This window comes from Homo sapiens, chromosome 6 (assembly GCF_000001405.40).
Source record: "Homo sapiens chromosome 6, GRCh38.p14 Primary Assembly".
Taxonomy (NCBI): Eukaryota; Metazoa; Chordata; class Mammalia; order Primates; family Hominidae; genus Homo; species Homo sapiens.
In genome coordinates, this window is record NC_000006.12 from 129,416,304 (window position 1) to 129,438,548 (window position 22,245).

The 22,245-nt window shown below is 36.7% G+C and overlaps 1 protein-coding gene and 1 pseudogene across 2 annotated transcripts in view; one reads left to right on the forward strand and one right to left on the reverse strand.

The window, feature by feature from the left end:
- LAMA2 (laminin subunit alpha 2) overlaps positions 1-22,245 on the forward strand; it is a 633,429-nt gene that overhangs the window by 533,166 nt on the left and 78,018 nt on the right. For both annotated transcript variants that reach the window (NM_000426.4, NM_001079823.2), the window contains exon 41: positions 11,449-11,551. In NM_000426.4, coding sequence (NP_000417.3) covers positions 11,449-11,551 — 103 coding nt within the window. The remainder of the gene's footprint in view (positions 1-11,448; positions 11,552-22,245) is intronic.
- Positions 20,572-20,677, reverse strand: RNU6-861P (RNA, U6 small nuclear 861, pseudogene; annotated as a pseudogene).

Below are 22,245 nucleotides of genomic sequence, written 5' to 3' on the forward strand. Positions count from 1 at the left end.
TCCCCCGGACAGTCACTCCATTTTACTTAGTCTCTTGGTACTATTCTCAGAATTCAAATTTTAAATTAATTAATCTGTATTTCTGAAGAGCTGTTTGTTTTCTTACTGTATATTTTGCTTTCTCCATGGGAAAGATATGCTTGGGAGCCTCATGCAGTCTTGGTGGGAGTTATGTAACCACTGGGCCAGATATGTCAGGGCACACAGCATGGTGAGCCATTCCCTGGCCAGTTCCATCGCCCAGAGCCAGACCCTTTGGGCCCTACACAGACTGCACAGCCCCAGCATGTGGGGGCTTGTATAAGGGAAGTTCTGATGTCACAGGATCCTTGGGGTGTTTCTTCACCAGCTGGAAACCTCTGTGGCCAGTGGCACCTTTGCCTGAGTTTTGCTGAGGTCCACTGGGCACATTCCGCCCACTCAGCCTGGCAGGCTACACTTGGCTCACACTACCACTACTGGGCTGGATCCCACACCTGCCAAGGGTGATTCAGGGCAGAGTGGCGAGGGGTGTGTGAGTGAGCGTGGGCTCCAGCCACTGTGCACAGCTAAGCGTGCCAGCTGCAGTGGGCTGGGCAGCTCCAGGTCCTGGCTCTATGTGAGGCTGTGGCTGAACCAGACATACTACAATTGGCTTCCACCACTGGTACCAGGGAATGCGGTGGCACCCAGGAGCTTGGAGATGCCAGGAACCACAGAGTCTGAAAGAGGGTCTCACAGCCCTGGCTCAGGGAGTCCATAGGTCTCAGCTCCCCAAAAGGCCACAGCCCTTCTCTCCTGCTCATTGCTGTCAACATGGTGAGCTGGGGAAGGGGGTGTGTTTCAACCCTGTTTGTGTTGTAGCTCTCTCATTTCCACCATTTGCGGGGGGGTCCCAAGTTCTTGTCCCACATCCTGGAAGAATGAGGTTTGCAGACAACTGGAGGGTTAGCAAGGTGAAGAGGTGCTTTATTGAGTGACAGTGCAACTCTCAGGAGGCCTGAAATGGGTAGCTCCGTTCCACAGGCAGGTAATTCCAGCATCTGTGCAGCACCCTCAACAGAGGTGAGACACACAGTGGGTAGCTCCTATCCACAGGTAGATCATCCTGTTGTCTGCCCACGTCTGGCTGAGTCCGGGGTTTTTTATGGGCCTCAGAGGGGAGGAAGTGTATGCTGATTGGTCCATGGGTGGCCATGAGCTGGCCCAAAAAAAGCACCATAAGTTCTCACTCCAGTTTGTGGAACCGACAGTCCAGCCCCCTTCCTTCAGGCAGTCCCTGGCTTGAAGGTGGAGCTTCACTGAGGGCCCACCCCTTTCCACCCAGGAACCTGTATGCCTCCTGCCACCACCAACCTGCCATCCACGGCGCCCACTGGCACCCAGGCTGTTCATGCCTAGGGTCACCTTCAGGCCCATGCAGAGCCACCCTCAACTCCCCCTTGGCCTCCCTAATGTGCTCCTTGGCACCCAAAATCCAGAAGGGGCCAAGATAGTAGGGGGCTAGAGTGTCAGTGCTGCCCCGAGCATATGCACACCTGGCTGGGTTGCAACAGCCTCAGCTTTGCTCTGAAATCAGCCTGGGTGCCGGGAACAGTGAGAGACCAGGAAGAAGGAGCGGGCACTTCTGAGCCTGTAGGGGAAGAGAGGTGGCTGAGGGCACAGGGATGCCTGGGTCCACAGCTGGCTGGGTGGCTGCAGCTGCACCCAGTAGGGCAGGGTTCCCCCACCTTCAACTCGGAAGGGGACATGGCTCCCACTTGTTCCTGGCTCCCACCAGCTCTGTGGAGCACAAAGCCAGACAGGCTGACACTGCCATTACTGAGACCCTCTTGCTCTCAGAAGAGTTTTCATCGCCTGCTCCCTCTGTTTTCACTGCTTGGTGACTGTGGTGTTTTGTTTTGTTCCTATTTCCTTTTCTCAGAAAAGAAAGTCTTTAGAATTAAAATTTAAGCTGACAATAGATCCCCTCTCCCCAGGGAGCAGAAATATGGATATCCCTAAAGGTCTTGAGTGTTTCGGTCTTTCACTATTTTATACTCAATATTCCATGATTTTTATCTAGATATGCCTGGTGGACAACAGGTGATCGCCAAATATAGGTTGTCCCTCCCATCTCCAAATTCTGATGCTAGAAATCAGGAATGGCTATGATAGTCCAGATTTTCAGAATTGATAAGATATTTATATTACCCTAAGAGATACGGAAGTTGAACAGAATAAAAAAATTCAAAATAAAAGTAAATAAAATTACTTTCTTTCCCTGTTTAGTTTGAGATCATGTGTAAATATCAGTGAACGTGATGTCATATAGGATTTTTTTTTATTGATCAGAATTAGGTTCAAGTTGTGTTCTGGAAACTTCTAATTAAATTGAGGGAAGATGCTAGCAGGCCAGAATTTGGGAATTAGATGATCTGGCTCCAAATTCAATACATATTGTCTATGTAATTAGCTGTGTCACCTAATGTACCAATAATGCCTTTTCAAGAAACACTGTGCAGTCTGTTCTGATTCCTCCATTGGCTTAATTCCTATAATAAATATAGTTTCCAAAGTTTATAACTTAATTTTCAGAATTTATTTATTTTAATTGACAGATAAAAGTGGTATATATTTATCATGTACAACATGATGCTTTGAAATAAGTATACATTGTGGAATGGCTAAATCGAGGTATTTAAAAATATGCACTACCTCACATACTGGTCATTTTTCTGTGTTGAGAACACTTAAAATCTACTCTCTTAGCAAAGCCATGCTGGCTTTAGTGATTTTTTTTTTTGTACATGATACTCTCATTTGGGTCAATAATTTTTTTAAAAGTCTATTGGAAGCAGAGAAATAAATTTTTTGACCCAGCCTTAGATGTATTTAAAAGTTCAGGGCATAAAATGATAGATGTCTCAGGGTTTGTGTCATCAGTCGGAAACACAGAACTCTTTTGAACAATGCCACAATGCAATCTAAGTTTGATCTAATTTTCTTCAAGACAATAATGCTCTTGGTGCCATCCTACCTGCTCTTTATGATTTCTACCCGTAGGTAGAATAATCAAGAGGTGAGATTGATGTTGTTTTTGATTCTGGACATTAACTAGAGGGAAAATTCGAAGCCCTCTAAGAATGGTATCTAACTTAATAGACACCTCTCCATTACCTTTACTCAAAACTAAGACTCTTTGTGGTATGGGCCCACCCCACCTCTAGTAGCCAGCTGCTAGTCCAGTGTCTGTCTCACTGAAGCAGTCTAGTGGTACACATAGGTACTGAGCAATTATGTCTGTCATGCTGTAATTGAGGAAAACCATCCTTACTTCATTTTATATTTTTGAATGCTCCCTTGATTGTCCTTCTTGGTGTTCCCATAAAGCTAAAAATTCACACTCACGAATTTTAAATTATCATGAGCAATTTGGGGGATTTCCTATTTTATCACTGAGTCTCCTTTGAGTGCTCAGCTGCTTTCAATCTTGACAGATACTCATCTGACCCATCTACCACCCTTAGGGTATGCTATGCGATGCCAGGGACCTACAGCCTTTTAAGAGATTTTTGACCAAAGCCGTCTCTTTGGGGTGTTTCTTGACTCATTTTTTACTCATTATTTAATTTTAATAACCTATAGTACTTAAAAATGTACAGTACTATATAAAGCACCTTAAAAATTGATGCATGGTGATTTTCTTATTTTAAAATTGTGTATGATTTTTTAAATTATTATAAAAGCAGCTTATGTCTATTATAGAAAATAGGAAATACAGAAAAGCAAGAAGAAGAAAATATAAAATGTGCATACGAGTAATTACTTTTGTAATATCATTGTATATCTACTCATATCTTTTCCTATGCAAATAGTTTTTCTACAAATGGGTGATATTTATATAACTGTTTCATAACTTACTATGGGAATGAACATCACATACGTATTTTAAAAAATATTCTCAAAAATATATTTTTAAAATGTATATTGAACTAGATTCTGAGAATTTACATCATTATTATAGTAAGAACATTATCCTTGATTTTGATTCATAGTCTAACATACCAAACTCTAAATTTCTTCTGTTACTCACTTTACATAAACACATTGCAGCCAGTCACCAACCCTTACATATATCCCTGCACAGTTTGAGCAGTTTTCTTTATTGAAAATATTTTTAATTTAAAATCATTTTAAGTTTTATATTATCTTGGCACATTAACCCCTGTGGAAATGTGTAAGACTTCTCTTCTAAAATAAATTATTTCATAAAGAGAGAGAGTAATAGAATAAGTCATAAACCATGCTGATGAATTTTTAGTTACTACTGTCTTTAAAAAGTAAACAAAAAAACAGAAAATAAATATTTTACATCTTTTACAGCCAACTCTTTCAATGAGTTCAAAAATTTCATCTCTAATAAAAAAGTAATTTGGGGAACATTTAGGAAAAAAGCAAAATATATAAAGCAATGTAAACAATAACTTTTAAACTTGCTTGTTTAGAAAATCACTGGGGTACAGGTTAGTCAGCCTGATAAACTCTAACTTGCCTTCACACCTCCCTCCTCCAGCAGAGCCTCCTCTGACAGCCAAACATCTAGGCATTTCTGTGTTCCATTATGGTAATGATTGTCTTTTTTTATAAGTGACTATATTTGTTTGTCTTTCCTCTTCCCTCCACTCCAGTTCCATTAGGGAAGGCATAGTCTTTCCATTTTGAATATTTGGTGCTTGAGATAAATAAAAAGTTTTGTTGGGTAAATAAATCAATTCACTTATCTATTAATCAATGGCAGTATGCTTTAGCAAGAGTAATTATGAATATCTAATAAGTAGTAGGAAGAGGAAAACTAACATGTATTAAAATGCAATTACATGCCAAGTCATCTGTTGAATCCTAACAGACTTTATAATTTCATTTTTTCCTGCTATAATGACGTTTTAAATTATCTCACATTTTCTTAAACAATTATTAACTAATAAAAACATACAGCAACTTACATAAAAATAGACTCTGTTTTGCATGATATAGTTGAAATTTTTATATAACTTGTATATCCATATGTATGAATATATATATATGTACACAGACTCAGAAAGAGAATACCAAGAATTTATTGTTTAAAAAAAAAAACCTCTAAAAAGCAAGAAACAAAATATCTTGCAACTCAAAGAATCTCATTTATATTTCACATATGCTGTAGACACAGCTCAGGAACTCAGATGTGATGCTTATGAATATGTATAAAGTATAATTAGCTTAGAAAATGCTGCTTCATCACCTGTCCTGATATTGTTGATGTGCTTCAATAACTTACCAAGCAATGCTGGAAAAGGTTCTCTCCAAATTCCAGTGAGTTGAAACGGTGCTTTTCACCCATAACATGTTAGTGTTTTCCATTCCCTTATCATGTGAAAAGCCTGTCCTTTAAACCCAGATTGCTGGCAGACTGCTTGTAACTGACAGTTGTATGCCATAAGCTCTTTACTTTAATATTTTAGAGAGCTTCTTGAAACATTGAGGCATGTCTTTTCCTCCAAATCTCTTGATTTTTAACCTCTCAATTCCACGGTGCTTGCATGAGGTGACTATTCTCTTTTCTCTGGCCTATACTATTACAATAACCAATTGATGGCTCCTTTTTTCCCACACAGCTGCCCAATTCATCTTCTTGGACTACAGCTCTGATCACACTCTCCTACTCAGAAACTTTCAAGGCCTCCAAATTGCTCATTGCCCAGTTTCCTTACTCGCACATTCAAACCTTCCAGAAATTGACTCTGACCTGTCTAATAGCCTTACTTCTCCACATTGCCCTTGACGAACCCTACAAACTTAGGGAGCTGAAATACTCGCTCTCACATCCACACATCAAAAGTCCCTGCCTGCCTCCCTGCCTTTCCTTATACTATTTCTACTATATCTTCTACATTCCTGTATATACTACCTGTCTCCTTTCATCTGAGCAAGGAATGGTTGACTAAGGATCCAGGAAGAAATCACTGACTTCCTAAAAAGCAGGGAAAAAAAAATTGCCTGGAAGCAAAGAGCAGGTGATATTCAGAAATGCAAGAAGATAGAAAATTAGCAACACGGAGGTCTGTATCAGTACATAGCCTTCAGTCAGGGCTGTCATGTTTCTGGATGAAGGTGCAAGAGCCAGTGGAAAATCAATACATTGATAATCATCCAGCCAGACTAATCAGAAAAAAATCAGAAAAGTCACCAACTACCAATATCAGGAATACAAGAGGTGAAATCACTACAACTTCTGCAGATAGTAAAGGATGTTAAGAGGATATTATGAACAATTTTATGGCAATAATTCAACAATTTGGATAAAAAGGGCAAATTCTTTGAAAATCACAAACTACCAAAACTCACAGATAAATAATCTGAATAGTTCTATATTCATTAGAGAATTTAATTTGTAGTTCAAAACCTTCACACACACAAATTCAGTTCCAGATGACTTTACTTGTGAATTCCACCAAATATTTAATGAAGAAATAATAAACTCTTTCAGAAAATTGAAGAGGAGAAAATACATCCAACCTCATTCTACGAGGCCAGTATTACTCTGATACCAATGGCAGACAAAGATAGTTTTTAAAAAAGAAAATTATATTATATAACAATATCCCTCCATGAACATAGATGTAAAAGTTCATGGCAAAGTTATAACAAATCAAATCTAATGATTTACTCAAAGGATTATACATGATCACTAAATGATATTAATGCCAGGATGTAAGATTGGTTTAATATTTGAAATTAGTCAGTGTAATTTACCATATAGCAAACTAAAAAGCAAACTATATAATCACCTCAATTGATACAGCAAAGGCATTTGACAAAATGCGTCTATTTTTTTTTAAAAACTGCCTACTAAGAGTAGGGGAACTTCACTACCTGATCACTATAAAAACCTATTTTTTAAAAAAACCTAACAGCTAAAATCATACTTAGCACAAGACTAAGATTAGGAAGAAGGCAAGGATATCTGCTTCCATTACTTCCATTTAACATTGTACTAGAGAGACTAACCAGTACAAGGGGCAAGAAAAAGGAAATAAATGGCATCCAGATTGAAAAATAAGTACAAATGTTTTTATTCACAGATACTATAGAAGTCTAAGCATAAAATCCTGGTGGTTCATGCCTGTAACCCTAGTGCTTTAGGAGGCTGAGGCAGGTGGATTGCTTGAGGCCAAGAGTTTGAGACTAGCTGGGCAACATAGCAAGACCTCATCTCTACAACCAAAAAAAAAGTTTAAAAAGCATAAAATAAAATGCTATCTATTAAAAAAAAGTTACTAGAACTAATAAGTGAGCTTACCAATGTTATAAGGTACAACATCTATATGTGAAAATCAGTCATTTCAAAGACTGGCAAGGATACGTTGGAAGTTGAAATTAAAAGGTTACAGTTTACAATAGCATTAAAAATGTAAAAGACCCCCTACACTGAATACTCTGGAGATAAATAAAAGAAAATCTAAATAAATCAAGAGATATACCATGTTCATAGATCAGAAGATTCAATATTCCTATAATCCTAGTTTATACATATTGACCTACACATTCAATGCAATCCCAGTAAAAATCCTAGCAAGGTTTTTTCCTAAAAATTTACAGATATGTTTTACAATTCATATGGAATTGGAAAGGAGAAAAATGTTGGAAAGGTTATACTACCTGACTTCAATACTTACTACCAAGCTATGGTAATCAGAGAATGTGGTGTTGGTATCAATATTGACAAATAGATTATTAGAATAGATTAAAGAGTCCAGATATAGATCCAGACATGTATGGTCAAATGATTTATGACAAAAATACAAAAGCAATACAAGGTATATTTAACAAATTCTACTAGAGGAATTGAATATCCATGAACAACAACAAAAAAAATGAACTTCAGTCTGTATCTTGCACCATATTCCAAAATTAACTCAAAAGAGATGCTAGACCTAACTGTAAAACATAAAAATATAAAACATCTAAAAATATATAAGAAAAATCTTTGTGATCTTGGGTAAAGCAAAGATTCTTAGATACACCACCAAAAGCATATCCTCAAAAGGAAAACAAAATTAACAACTTAAATTTCATCAAAATTGAGAACTTCTTCCCTTCAAAAAAAAAAAAGCACTTTTAAGAAAATGAAAAGATAACTACAAACTAGTAGAATATATTTCCAAATTACATATCTGATAAAGGACCCATATCCAGATTATTCATATGTATCATTCAAAACTCAAAAATAAGAGCAAATAACCCAAGAAAATTTGAACAAAAGATTTAAACAGGTCACCAAAGAAGGTGGAAAATAAGCATGTGAAAAGATGCTCAATGTTATTAGTCATAAGGAAAACACAAAGCAAAACCAAAATGATGACCAGTTAGAATGTCTAAAATTTTAAAAGACAGGTTATACCAAGTATCAACAAAGATGTAGGCACATGCAGCTCTCATACACTGGTGATGGGAATATAAATAGTTCAGATACTTTAGAAAACAGGTTGATAATTTCTTAAAAACGTAAACATAAATTACCATATGATCCAGCCATTCTGCTTCTGTGTATTTACTCCAAGATAAATGATGGCATATGTTCACCCAAAAATTTGTACACAGATGTGTACATATCCCTATGATGAAATAATTACCAATAAAAAGGATCAAATATGGATACACACACAACATAGATAAATGTTGAAACTATGTTGAGTGAAAGAAGCCAGACAAAAAGAGAGTACATGCAGAATGTTTCCATTTGTATAAAATTCTATGAAATGCAAACCTACAGTGATGGAAAGCAGATCAGTATTTGTCTGGGGACAGAGGGAAGAGAAGGAAGGATAGAAGAAAGAGATTCAAAAGAAATGATGGATATATTCTCTACCATGGTTGTGGTAATGGTCTCATGGGTGTACATATTCAAAACTTATCCAATTGTAAATTGGTTTGCATGGTTTATTTATGCCAGTTTTAACTCAATAAAAGTATTAAACAGTATTAGTCATCTCTGGTCATAGTCCCTCCACAATTTCCACAACTTAGATTTTAGCCTCTTTCACTGTTGTTTGGGCCATCTTCCTCTTTTCTCTCTTACCAATTCCATTTATTTTCTTTTTTAAATTCTTTTTACTTTTTTTTAATTTTTGAAACTTGTATTTTAGGTTCAAAGGTACATGTGCAGGTTTTTTATATAGGTAAACTCTTGTCATGGAGGTTTGTTGTATAGATTTCATCACGCAGGAACTAAGTCTACTACCCAATAGTTATTTTTCTCTGTTTCTCTCCCTCCTCCCACTAGCTACCCTCAAGTAGGCCTCGGTGTATGTTGTTCTCCCCTTTGTGTCCATATGTTCTCATCATTTAGCTCCCACTTATAAATGAGAACATGCTGTATTTGATTTTCTGTTCCTGCATTAGTTTGCTAAGAATAATGGCCTCCAACTCCATCCATGTTCCTGCAAAGGACATGATTGCATTCGTTTTATGACTGCATAGTATTCCATGGTGTATATGTACCACATTTTATTTATCCAGTCTGCCGCTGATGCTATTCCTTATTTTCTTATGCTCAGCAAATCAACCTTTTCTCTCCACTTTAATCCTGTGCCTCACTTTGCACACCTGAAGTTAGCTTTAAAATTATGACTTTTAAATGCTTGTCAGATTACATTCTTACAAAAAGGTATTCACACTCCAAGGCACTGGGGAAAGCTGTTTTCTTTTTTTGTCTAGTTTCATCTAGTACTATAAATGGCCTATATTATCTTGACAATTCAGGATTGTATTATCATCCTTGGTTATTTTACCACAATAAGGTTGGCATCTACTGAGACCTACTTTACCTCTATACATTTTATCCCTTTCCAAATTGACTCAGACTCCTGAGCTTCAAAAATTCCTCTCTCCACTTTTTAGAGTTTTCTCTTCTCTTTGCTCATTGTCGGACAGATTGTCAGCTGTCACTTCTGCTGTTTTCATGTGTTTGTTTAGAGAATCTTCACACATTCTTTCATTGTAATTTCCTGTCTCTAAATTGTTTTGATTCAGAAAACCTATAACCAAGGGAGTAAAAATGACGTGTAAATTTGGAACAAATATAGAATCTGAGTGGGTAACCTGAGGCTTACTTCGTGAGTTAAAGTACATTGCATCTGTGTCATTAATTTTGACACTCTTTTTTTTTTTTCCAAGATGAATGACACTTATGTGATGTTACTGTATCTAATTCCCAAGAGAACTGTAGCAATGAGAATTCCTGTTTTTCCCAGCAGAAAACATCATCAGTTTTCTGGAGAATAATTTGCCAAGGTTGTCTTTTGCAAGAACTATGTTCAGTGTTCTTTTTTATTTATGTAGATGTTTCCAATATATCTTTTTGTAGATATGATAGCATTGTACAATCAATCTGTTCTATGAGCAATCAATTATTTACCTGAAAGCTGTTAGAATAATACATTAAAATAAATTTGACCACAGCCATACCAAGTTCTGTAATCTTTTCTAGTTTAATGTTCAAATAATGTGACTGATAAAAATAATGTAACTAAGGCAGTCCAGATGCCTTTAACGAGTGTTATGTCTGTGATAATCTGAGTTCAGATTTATATCTTCAACAGTAAGTATTTAGCACTCTCCAACCCTTCTTGCACTTGCAATACTTTTCCAATTTAAAATTTACACATAAGATCCTGTTTGATTTATCTCTTGGTATATATGAATTATGTAATGATTGCTGAGGAGCAAACACTATTAAAATGGGTAACTAGACATTCAAGTTAAACATTCCTTTTCCCATATCATTCTATTAACTTTGTGTCACCTTTTTTAATCTGAGTCTAAACAAATATATCTTTGCTTGGAGATAATTGTGGCTCAGAGATTGTCATTTAGAAGATTGTGTTTTGCCATACCGCTTTAAGATGCATTTTTTAAAAGAAGCAGTGTTCTTTCTCATTTCAGCACTTGGGAGATACAGGAAATGCTCCCCTCTCAGTCCACAACTAGAGTGAAATTTGCTTAAGGATAAAGTCAGGGGATGTGTTTAGTTCTTAATTTGCTTGACTTCTGTAGCACGTCATAATGCTGCTCAGTTATGTCCTTACAACACCGCCAGTTATCATGCATCGAGTCACTTCTGCATCTCTTAATTTCCATAGTGTTATGCTCTCCTAATTTCTCCTTTTCCTCTGTGGAATGCCAGTCACCTTGCCAGCTCCACTTTCTCTGCCTACTCCCTAAACATTGAAGTTCCTAAGAACTCTGTTCTAGATCTTCTTCTCATACCGTAATAAACAGTCTCCTAACTTTAACTACCGAATATGTGCTAATAATTTACAATTCTATATCTGCAGCCCAGAGCTCTTTCCTAAAGGCAAACTCTGTGTACCAACTGCCTTCTGGATCCCTCCACTCCATTATTCTATGGTTTTAGATGTATGACATTTGTTTTTCTGTCCACAGGCAACAGGTCCTCGGGGTTTATTAAAGGAAGATGCCAAAGGCTGTCTTCAGAAAAGCTTCAGGATTCTTAACGAAGCCAAGAAGTTAGCAAATGATGTAAAAGGTCAGTGTGGCCATAGTTTTTATTATATTCCAGTTAATCGGGTTGTTACTGATAAGATATTCTATCACACTATTGGAGAATGTAATTTCTTTAGCATGATTTTTGTGATGATTCTATAATCTATTTAATGCAAGTAAACTTTCTCACTAGTTTTACAAAATGTTGTCTACCTATCTCACTTCAAGTAGGGTAATATCTCATAATTTGTAAGTCTTATTTCTATAGCATCACTTCACCTATATCTAATGTATAGTAACTTTTAGTGTAATAAGTTTTTAAGAGTATCAAACCCAGGCCAGCCATAGTGGCTCACACCTGTGATTCTAGTGCTTAGGGAGGCCGAGGCAGGAGGATCCCTTGGTGCCAAGAATTTGAGACCAGCCGGGGAAACATAGCAAGATCCTGTCTCTACAAAACATTTTTTAAAAATTTAGTCAGGTGTAGCAGCGTGAGCACATAGGCATAGCTACTTGGAAGGCTGAGCCAGGAGGATCGCTTTAGCCCAGGGGCGTGAAGTTACCGTGAGTTGTGATCACACTACTGTACACCAGCCTGGGTAACAGAGTAAGATCCTGTCTCTAAAAAGAAAAACAAAATTAAATACATTTTTCTTTTTCTGAGATGAAGTCTCGCTCTGTCAACCAGGCTGGAGTGCAGTGGTGCGATCTTGGCTCACTGCAGCCTCTGTCTCCCAGGTTCAAGTGATTGTCCTGCCTCATATCTGGGATTACAGGTGCATGCCACCACACCTGGCTAATCTTTGCATTTTGAGTAGAGACAGGGTTTCACCATGTTGACCAGGCTGGTCTTGAACTCCTGACCTCAAGTGATCCTCCCGCCTCGGCCTCCCAAAGTGCTGAGATTACAGATGTGAGCCACCGTGCCCGGCCCTAAATACATTTTTCTTGTATTTTATTTCTGATTCAGGAATCAAAATGCACAAAATATCTACTGCCATATTATGGGTTTTATGTTAAGAATATATCATTAAACATGGCTGCTCTCTATATGAGCCATTACAATTATTATTTTATGCACTTATCTCTTGTCTCCCATTTGAATTGCCACCTGTTTCTCTCTTCAGTTTCATTCCCTACCATTTTCTGTCTCATATCTGTCTCCCTACCCTTACCTAAGTATTCATAATTCCTCCCAAACATGCTACTATTCCAAGCCTTCATGTTTTCAGTATTATTTCTTCCCCTTGGAATGCCCCATCCTTCACCTCTCTTCTTTGCCTAACTGCTTTCTTCCAGACCTTCAGGATTTAGTTCAAATGCCATCATTTCCAGGAAACCTAACACCTCATCTGATTTACATGCCCCCTCTCTGGTATAGTTTTCTCATAGGCTTGTCAAACCACCACAATCATGGACTAATTAATATTCCATCTTCTTTTACAATTTTTAAAACTTTTTTATTGATGCATAACAGATGTATAAATTTTTGGCATTCCATCTTCTTGAGGAAAGACATGGGGTTTTGCTAACTGTGTATTTCTAGTATGCATAATAGTGACTAGCTCAAATGAGGAAATACTTATTTTTTACAATAAATGGTGTTGGCTTATCTTACTTATCTTAGAAAGAGAAGAGGTTTTAAAATCATTTATATTTGGCATGTTTTGGTCTCAGTAGAAGCTGATATGAAATTACAAGTTCTATCTCGATTATAAGTAAAATTTTAATAGTACAATTCTTCAGGCTGTGTATTACAGGTGAAATAAAACTCCCTACACACATAATTCTGCTCAGCAGGTACCTCTTATTACAATCTGAAGAATGACTGTAAGAAGCCAAAACCTGTGTTCCTATTGGACAAATGGACTCAATCCCGTGACTTTGCGGTCACTCCTTCCTATCTCATACCCTTGCCCAGGGCTGGGAATAGGGAGGAAGGGAGCGAGGTGATTCATGCAAGTGCAAGAACCAATCCTGTCTTTAAGATTTTAATAATACCAGGGCCGTGCCCTCGCCTCTATTTCCCCACAAACACTGGTATTATAAAAATGAAGAAAGAATTTTATTTTCAGCCATTTTTTTTCCAAGAGAAAAAGAAATCTAAAGACAAGCATTGTAGGAAGGGTTAGGAGACAGAAATGTTCATTAGTTTAAATTTATTTTTTTTGTAGTTCAGGTAGTACATTATTTAAAGTAATGAAAACCCACAAACTACTCAAGTAATAATTCCTCTAGAAAACCAAGCCAAGGCTATGACGGAGATGGGAATGTTTTCTTGCTACATTATGACATTTCTCTGATTTGTGGCCAATTACGGAGGTTATAAAATGGCTGTTAATCAGGGAAATGCCATATATTACTACCAGGAACTGCTGAAATAGGCCCTACAGAGCAAAACTCTTGACAGCAGCTATTAAAATAGAGATTTAGTCATTTCTCTCTCTATGGTGCCTGGAGTTAGAAGGAATAAAAATGGTGAGGCCAGTATACCCTCCATATTTCTAATTTGTTGCTTGGTTCAATTCAGTACAGTTCAGTTAGTTTGTGAGCTTCAGTCATGAATGACTTAGTACTGCTCCCTGCCATTTTTATGCTGTCCTTGCCTTGAGGGAATCTGAACTTGCCGGGAGCAATTTGTTTTGCTTTTTAATTTTTGAATATACATCTGTTAAAAGTAAATTTGCCCTTGTGTGAGTTTGAGATTTGAAGCCTGTCTACATTGCACTGATCGAATGTTTGTGGAGATAAAAAGTATTTTGTTGATGGATATGAGGCTTGGTACAAATTGATGACTGAAAGAGTGAAAAGATGAATTAGTACCACCAGGTGAATGAACACTGCTTTGCAGATAGACAAGAAATTTTTTAAGGCCGGGCGCAGTGGCTCATGCCCTGTAATTCCAGCATTTTGGGAGGCCGAGGCAGGCAGAGAAGTGGGAGAATAACTTGAGCCCAGGAGGCAGAGGTTGCAGTGAGCCAAGATCGCTCCATTGCACTCTAGCCTGGGTGACAGAGTGAGAGCCTGTCTCAAATAATAATTAATTAATTAATAATAAAAATTTAAAATAATTTTTTTCAGTAAAATGCCAACTTCATTTTCTCATGGAATGTGTACGAGGCAAGGAAGAAGTAGACCTTGGTTTATTAAAAGTTTGAGAATATTAAGATTTTAAAATTATACATCTTACCTTATATTGACTAACTTTTCAGTTTTATTTCCTTCTTAATTTATCCCCAATTTTTGTCTTTGCCCAAGATAAATGAAATTATTTAATTACTTAGAAAAATAATAGGTAACATGTTGGCCAGGTGCGGTGGCTCGCACCTGTAATCCTAACACTTCGGGAGACCGAGGTGGGCAGATCACCTGAGGTAAGGAGTTTGAGACCAGCATGGCCAGCGTGGTGAAACCCTGTCTCTACTAAAAACGCAAAAATTAGCTGGGCATGGTGGTGGGTGCCTGTAATCCCAGCTACTCAGGAGGCTGAGGTAGGAGAATTGCTGGAACCCAGGATACGGAGGTTACAGTGAGCTGAGATTGCGCCACTGCACTTCAGCCTGGGCAACAGAGTGAGACTCTATCTAAAAAAAAAAAAAAAAAACTAGGTAACATACCTATAAAATAGATAACACAGGAAATAAAAAGACCTATTCCCTGGAGATCTATGACAGCTCATTTTAAAGGAGGCGGTTTGTCTCATAGCACTGTAGCCTGTGGTATATAATTACAGTTAACCCTTGACCAATGCAGGGGTTGGAGAGCATGGACCCCTGCACAGTTGAAAATCCATGTATAACATTAGACTCTTCATAAACTTCATAACTAAACTTCATAACATAAACTTTATAAACTAAAAAAAGAATCTATTCCCAAGCCCAAATAATGAATCAGTGCATTGCTTGACATATGGTGCTGTCCCACACAGAGAACAGTATGAAACATTATTCCAATCATTAAGTTTTATCAAACCAGTTGAAGCCTTCCTTCTATACAGTGGTCCTCCAAACACTCAGTCATTCCGTTCAGACAAGTGGGTCTTGAAGATTCTGAGATCATGGATGTAATACACTTGCAAACGCTAACCTGTTGAGATTCTGTGTTATTATTTTATATTTTAAAAATAAGAGAATAAACTGGAATACTGCAGTGCTGCTAAACCAAAGTATGATATAGGAGTGCAATTGTGACTAAGGGATCCTTTTATTATTAAAGATATACTCCTTTTGAATTTGCATATTACCCTTTGCCTGAATCAGCCTTTCCATAGCAGGCATGCAAAAGACAAGCAAAATCTGCTCTATTGACCACAATTTTAGACTAAAAGGATGAAATTAAGCCTGGGTCCCCTGGCCTACTGTGGTCTGGAGAACAAAGCAGTCTTTTCCAGGTGAAATTGCTGATCCCTCATACAAAGTTTTGATTCCTCCTTTAGAGTGTGAATGGTGGAAATAAAAAAATAAAACCAGGGTGGACTTCCATTAGAGAAAAAACAATAAGTGGCAAAATAGTGGCAAATATAGAGGGGCAGGTTCTATTGGAAAGATTATCCCTAAGAGCGAGACGTAGCTTGTCATATCCAACCCCACCATGTGAGTAGAGGACAAGAAACAAACATTCAGAACACTCCTGTATATCATCTCAGCAAGAGACAAAGGCCTGTGCAATAAAAATGGGGCTTAGAGCTAAAAACTTATCTGGGCTTTGTTGTGTGTTCAGAATCAGAGTCTGAGATTCTATGGCGTTTTTTGCAAGTAAGTTAATTTAGACCAGAAATAAACAGAAATGCCTTCAAGAGACTTACAGATAACATAAAGGGATGGTGGGGCCTGTGTTAAACCAAAGACTATTTGTCTTATTTAAAGGTATTCAAACTCAATTTTCTTGCTGGGCAAAAGAAAACAAGCCTGCAAGCCCACAGTCACCATGTCCTAGAGGAGCCAAATGCAGGTGTTGATGTCTGGTGGTTTTAGTTTTTCATTCCACTGGCTGCAGAGGGGACTCCCTTTTATCCCAATATCCTGAATCTTTGCAGAACCTGCTACCAGACAAGTACACCTTCCCTCCTTTCCTGAAGCTCCTACTATGACCCCCTAGTGGGAGGAAGAGCATATGCAAGCATGGTGCTTATTGCGAACAAGATCTAATTTCTTACTTTCAGATCAGAAGAGGGTTTCTCCATAACCTGACTCCCTGTGAAACAGTCATCTCTGAGGTTCCCATATGTGGTCACTCTAGTATGTATGTCTGTCTGTGCAGAATAAGTAATCAGATATACAGCACATCCCAAACTTGTGACAGCTACTAGGGAAAGGGAAGCACAGGAGTAACAATCATGAAAGAAGGCTAGAAATATAAAGGTTCAGGAAATGATACCGTTCCGAATCATTGTCACCAAATTCAATGATTGCCTGCATAATGCAGAAAATTGGAGGGATTTTTTCTAAGAAGTACAAAGATTGGGTGTAGCAACCTTATCAAATCAATTTGCTGGAGACCTAGGAGAGAAATACAGTTGTAGATTTCAACTTCTATTCTTCCTCACTCGGGTGCTCTTCTTTCCTACCCAGGTCTCAAGATCCTGCACTGGGTATTTAGGTTGACTTAGGGGACAGGGTCTTTAGAAATCTCAAGAAGCCAAAATCTGAACACAGTCACTTATGCCTGTAATCCCAGGTCCTTTCAAAAGTAATCACATTTCCATGAATTTCACCCTTGTGAATGGGGCATTCTTTCAGGGCATTTATTTGTGCCCTATTCATATTAATAAAAAATAAAAATTCCATTTGAGAAACTCAACTGGATGGAATTTGAATAGTCAAATTAAACATTTCCATTAAAATTTATAAAAATCGTCCCGATATTTAGTTGAAAAGTGAGGAATATATACATAGGTATACATATGTTTAGGAAATATAAAAACGAAATAAACTTAGGTTCTGGACCAAGTAATTTAAATAAAAAAGGAATAAAGTCATAAATAGCATTATTATAATAAAAACTGGTAAAACACACCAGGACAATTTTCAAACCAATGTCAGTGTGTTACCTTTTACTTACTGCCTATGGTAAATCCAGCACTTTCTCATACATCTCCCAGTTTATTTCTCATATCAGTCACATGAAGGAAGATGTTTTCTTTATTTGCCATATGTAAAAAGGGACAGAAATGACATTTGAACCCACATCTTCCAACTCTGTGTCCTATAGTGATTTCATTGTACCAGACTAGATTTCAGAGAAATACTGTGTAGCAGTTTTATTTTGAGATCGTACATAGTTAGTTCTAATATAACTAAGCCCTAATTTATATTTAGCATCATGTCAGAAACATGATAAACAAGAGTAACTGCTCATTATTAATGCAAGTGACTTGCAACTCTGCCCTGCGATTTTTATTCTGGATATATCTATCTTGTGCCATTTCAATGGGCATGTGACAAAGGAAAATTACACTGTCATTGTGTTCCCAGTCGACCCTTGCTACTCTGCTGCTTCCATTCCCTCATTGTGAGTCCTGCTTTTGCCAAACTAATTCTAGCACATTTTTCTTCTACTCTATGAGGAGGAGATGAGAAAGGGAGAGCCAGACTTAAAGACGTATGTGTGTGTAGCCTTTGAGTTTTGGTGGATGTGATCTTTAGAGAGAAAGTAGAATGACTAGGCTTCTGTTATTGGGTTTGAGAGCTGAAGGAATAAGGAGAGGGAATCTAGAAAATAAAACTATGGATTATAAATTAAATCTTCTTCTTATTCTCCAGAAATCACAAGTAAAAAAATTCAGTTGGATTTTCTTTTAACTATCGATAATTCTATGTCTTCACCCTTGTTACAATTCAAACTGAATCACAAGAGTTCTTTCTTACTTTTAGTTATGGATACACTATGCCTCCTCTGTCTTTTATTTAAAATCAGCCCAGGAGTGCTTATTTTTCTAGGTTTTCCTCGCTATTATTTTGTAAGTTCCATTTTGAAATCTGCAATTCTTCTCTGAATAGCTTCTACTCATCTAATTCTATCACCAAAGCTACAAAATGTTTAGATGTAGTTCAAGAAATTCCAGAAACTACTTTAGAAAAAGGTGATCAGCGTAAGAAAGGGCAAATTAATAAGGATCAGAGTCAAGCAGCTGAAACATTAAAAAAAAATCAGAACAGGGTTGGAATATACACATTGTAACTTGCTAGTACAAAAAAAAAATGCAGAGAATCAAAATTAGCGCTTTGGAACTTGAGAGGCAGCAGTAAAAATATTCTTCAGGTCAGTCTTCTGAATAATTGGCCCAGTTGTTCAGCCAGCATTTTGCTATCAGAATGCAGAAAGTGGTATAAACCCAGGGATACCCTTCAAATTAATGATCTTTCTCACCATACATGAATATCTTGCTTGCCAGAACATTTGAATGCTCCATTATTTTAAAAACTAAATCCAATCAAGAAGCTAAGAAATGAAATTTCTACAGTTCCATTTTCTTAAGTGTTGAAGACTTTCAAGCTAATATCAAAAGAGCAGCCCTTTATTCTCAAAGAATTTGTATAGATATCACAGTCATAATCAGACTGGCTTTATTTCAGAGAGTATGCTTTTGGTAGCCTATCCAAAGATTTTATTTTAGTATAAACAGTAAAAATAACAGAAGTATTATAAGAAAGATGAATTGTGATTGACAGAGGAGAAAATCCAATTACTTGGAAAGTATATTTTGTGGGCTTAGAATTGAAAATAATAATATATTAGTGACTGAACTAGACATATTGATGTTTTAGAGCCGTGCTTTGCTGGAATATTTTATGCTTTGTTTTTCAGTGATGTCAGGTCTTTGGCTTGGAATTTAACAACAGACACTTTAAACAATGTTATGTGCTTATATTAGTATAATCTGTAGTATAACAGAAGTTTAAGGTGTCTGCCTATAAAACCCTTTATATGAAGTGGAGTGAATCATTAATTAATATGTCCCGTACTCTTCTTCACATCCAGACACCGATAGTTCAGAATCCTCCATCTATCCACCTTTCCCTTTGCTATTCTTCACAGATGCAGGCCAACAAAGATGAGGATAGTTCTCCAGCTGCCCATGGCCTGCACAGTTCCTCTAATGAGCCACATGCACAACCTCTGAGAGGGGTGTGCACACAGTCAAATCAAGACTGCTGTAGCTCTATTCTTTGGGGCGTATTCTCTCCCACCTGCCTTCTCTGGGTACCAGGAAAGTGATGAAAATCAGTCTTGGTGTTGACAAATAACATGAAGATAGCAAATAACATTCTTCCCCAGTTAGGTGGTTTAAGTTTTTTAAAACATTGAAAAACAGAAATATATGCACACAGAAAGCAATTTAGCCAGCACAACCGGGTATAAAATGAGAAGTTTTAGTACATTGTCCCTCACGGCACTATTAACTGCCTCATTCATTCCCAGTTTCTACCCACTATTAATTACTGTAAAGGTTTTTGGCATGTTCTTCTCTACCCAGCTCCCACCAGCCCCTACCATGCCAAATGCTTGTATATGTGTCAGCATATATATGGTGCATCTTGCTTATTTTCATGGAAAGGTCTTAAGGTTTATTTCACATCCATATCCGCTCATCTACTTCTTTTTATAGATTGCACCTGTACCATTGTATGAACATGCTGTGTGGATATAAACAGCACTTTAATCTTATTAGGGTATTTTTATTCCCCCCTCCTTTTTTTTATTACAAATGAAGAGCTAATGAGTATCCCCAAAGATAAATCTTTTACAGGTATATTGAAGGGTAAATTTCTATCAGTAGAATTGCCAAACCAAATACATGTCTATTTAAAATTCTAATAAACTTATTAACTTGCTCTTCAAACAATGGAATCAATCTGCACGTCCACTAGCACTCTTGTGAACACTTGGCATTATCATACATTTAATTTTCCCCAATCTCAAAAATAAGAAATGACATCTTACTGTTGCTTAGTTTTACAGTTCTTTATGATAATCTTGAGTGCTTTTTACGAATTTCATAAATGATTATGTATGTTTATTTTATTGTGAACTACGTATTCTTATATTTTCCTCATTATCCTTAAAAATATGGAACACTTTGCATATTTGCCTGCCAGTTTTGCACATAGACAATGCTATTCTACTCTGAATAATTACAACTTGGTTATATATGTTGCTTAGGTGAGGCTTCTCTGATTTCTGTAACTGTGACCAATTTCTTTAAGACAACAAAGGAGAAAATGAGAGGAAGACAAAGGAAAGGAGGAGGACAGGAAGAAAAGGTTGAGGGTGATGGTGGGAGGAGCATTGCTACCCAAAATGCTCTACTAATCCCTAGTTTTGACTATCAATCCTTGGTAGAATGCAGTAGTTAGCATTGTTTATGGAATGGGACTATGTGGATTTGAATACCACCACTGCCATTTATTAACCATGCAAGCTTAGGAAATTTACTCAACTTCTCTAAGTCTCAATTTCCTCATTTGTAAATTGGAGATAATAGTAGTATATACATCATCATATACATCATACATCAATGTTATTGTAAGGATTAAGTAAAACAACCCACTGAAACTGAAGAACACTAAATGCGTGTAACATACACATTCAATGCTTGTCAGGCATTACTCTTACTAAATACTTGTCCATCCTATCCAGGAGGGACTAGAACAACTTCTCTTTCTTGGTCCTTTCTCAGTGGTCCTCCTCACTTGGGGACTCTGTCTTGTATTTACATGTTGCATTTCTGTGGAGCTAATTTAAACAATTAGTACGCATGTCCCAAAACAATTTTTATGGCATAAGAAACTATTAAAAATTTACCTAAAAAATGAGCTGTTGTATCCAGTCAAGAGAGGTAAATAATATTGTGGGAAGTATAGGATTTTTCATATTTTGTTTTTTCAATTTGAATTTTCACTAATAAATGATGTAAGAAAAAGAAGACAGATGAACTCCATTTCAGTCTTAAGATATATTTGCAGTTTAATGCATACCTGAGTAAGATTTCTAAACTTATATCAACAGATTGGATCTTTATTTTCTTTCCCCTTAATGATTTCAAATTTTACTCTTTATATTGTTGTACTCGAATTTAAACTGCTTAGTTACTATTACAATATAAATTAATCTAAAGTTTAGAGAATATTAAAAACTAGTGGAAAGCAGCTAGAAAACTTATATATGTAATATTAAATTATCTCTAGCAAATGGCATTTTTGAATATTAAAGATAACATTGCTAAAGTATCAAGAGAAAAAAACTATATAAAATTTATTGGACCCAATTTGTAAAAATATTGTTTTCTTTATGAGAAAAATGACTATTATCAGATATGTGCTAAATGTTGTTTTTCCATTTCTTTAATGTGTATTTTTGTCCAAATAAATATTAACAAATATTATTATACTGAAGTTGGAGGATTCTGCTAAACAATCATATCTGAGATTTTGAAAATCTAATCCAATGATTCATTTTGGTAATAAAAGTTTTTAAATAAGTGGAATCAATGGGAGTGATAACAAGAGGGCATAATTACAAATGGAATAAAAGACTAATTCTTTGGAGGTTTCTTCTCTATAGGAAGATATCAAATTAAGTCAGATAAAGATCAGATACCAAGAAGAAAATGTCATTGTTCAACATGTAGAAGCATCCAATAATTCAATGATAATAAAAACACATATTTTTAAAATATGATTGGAAATATATTTATGTATAGATGCCAATAAATTAAATACATTTTCTTGCTTTTAA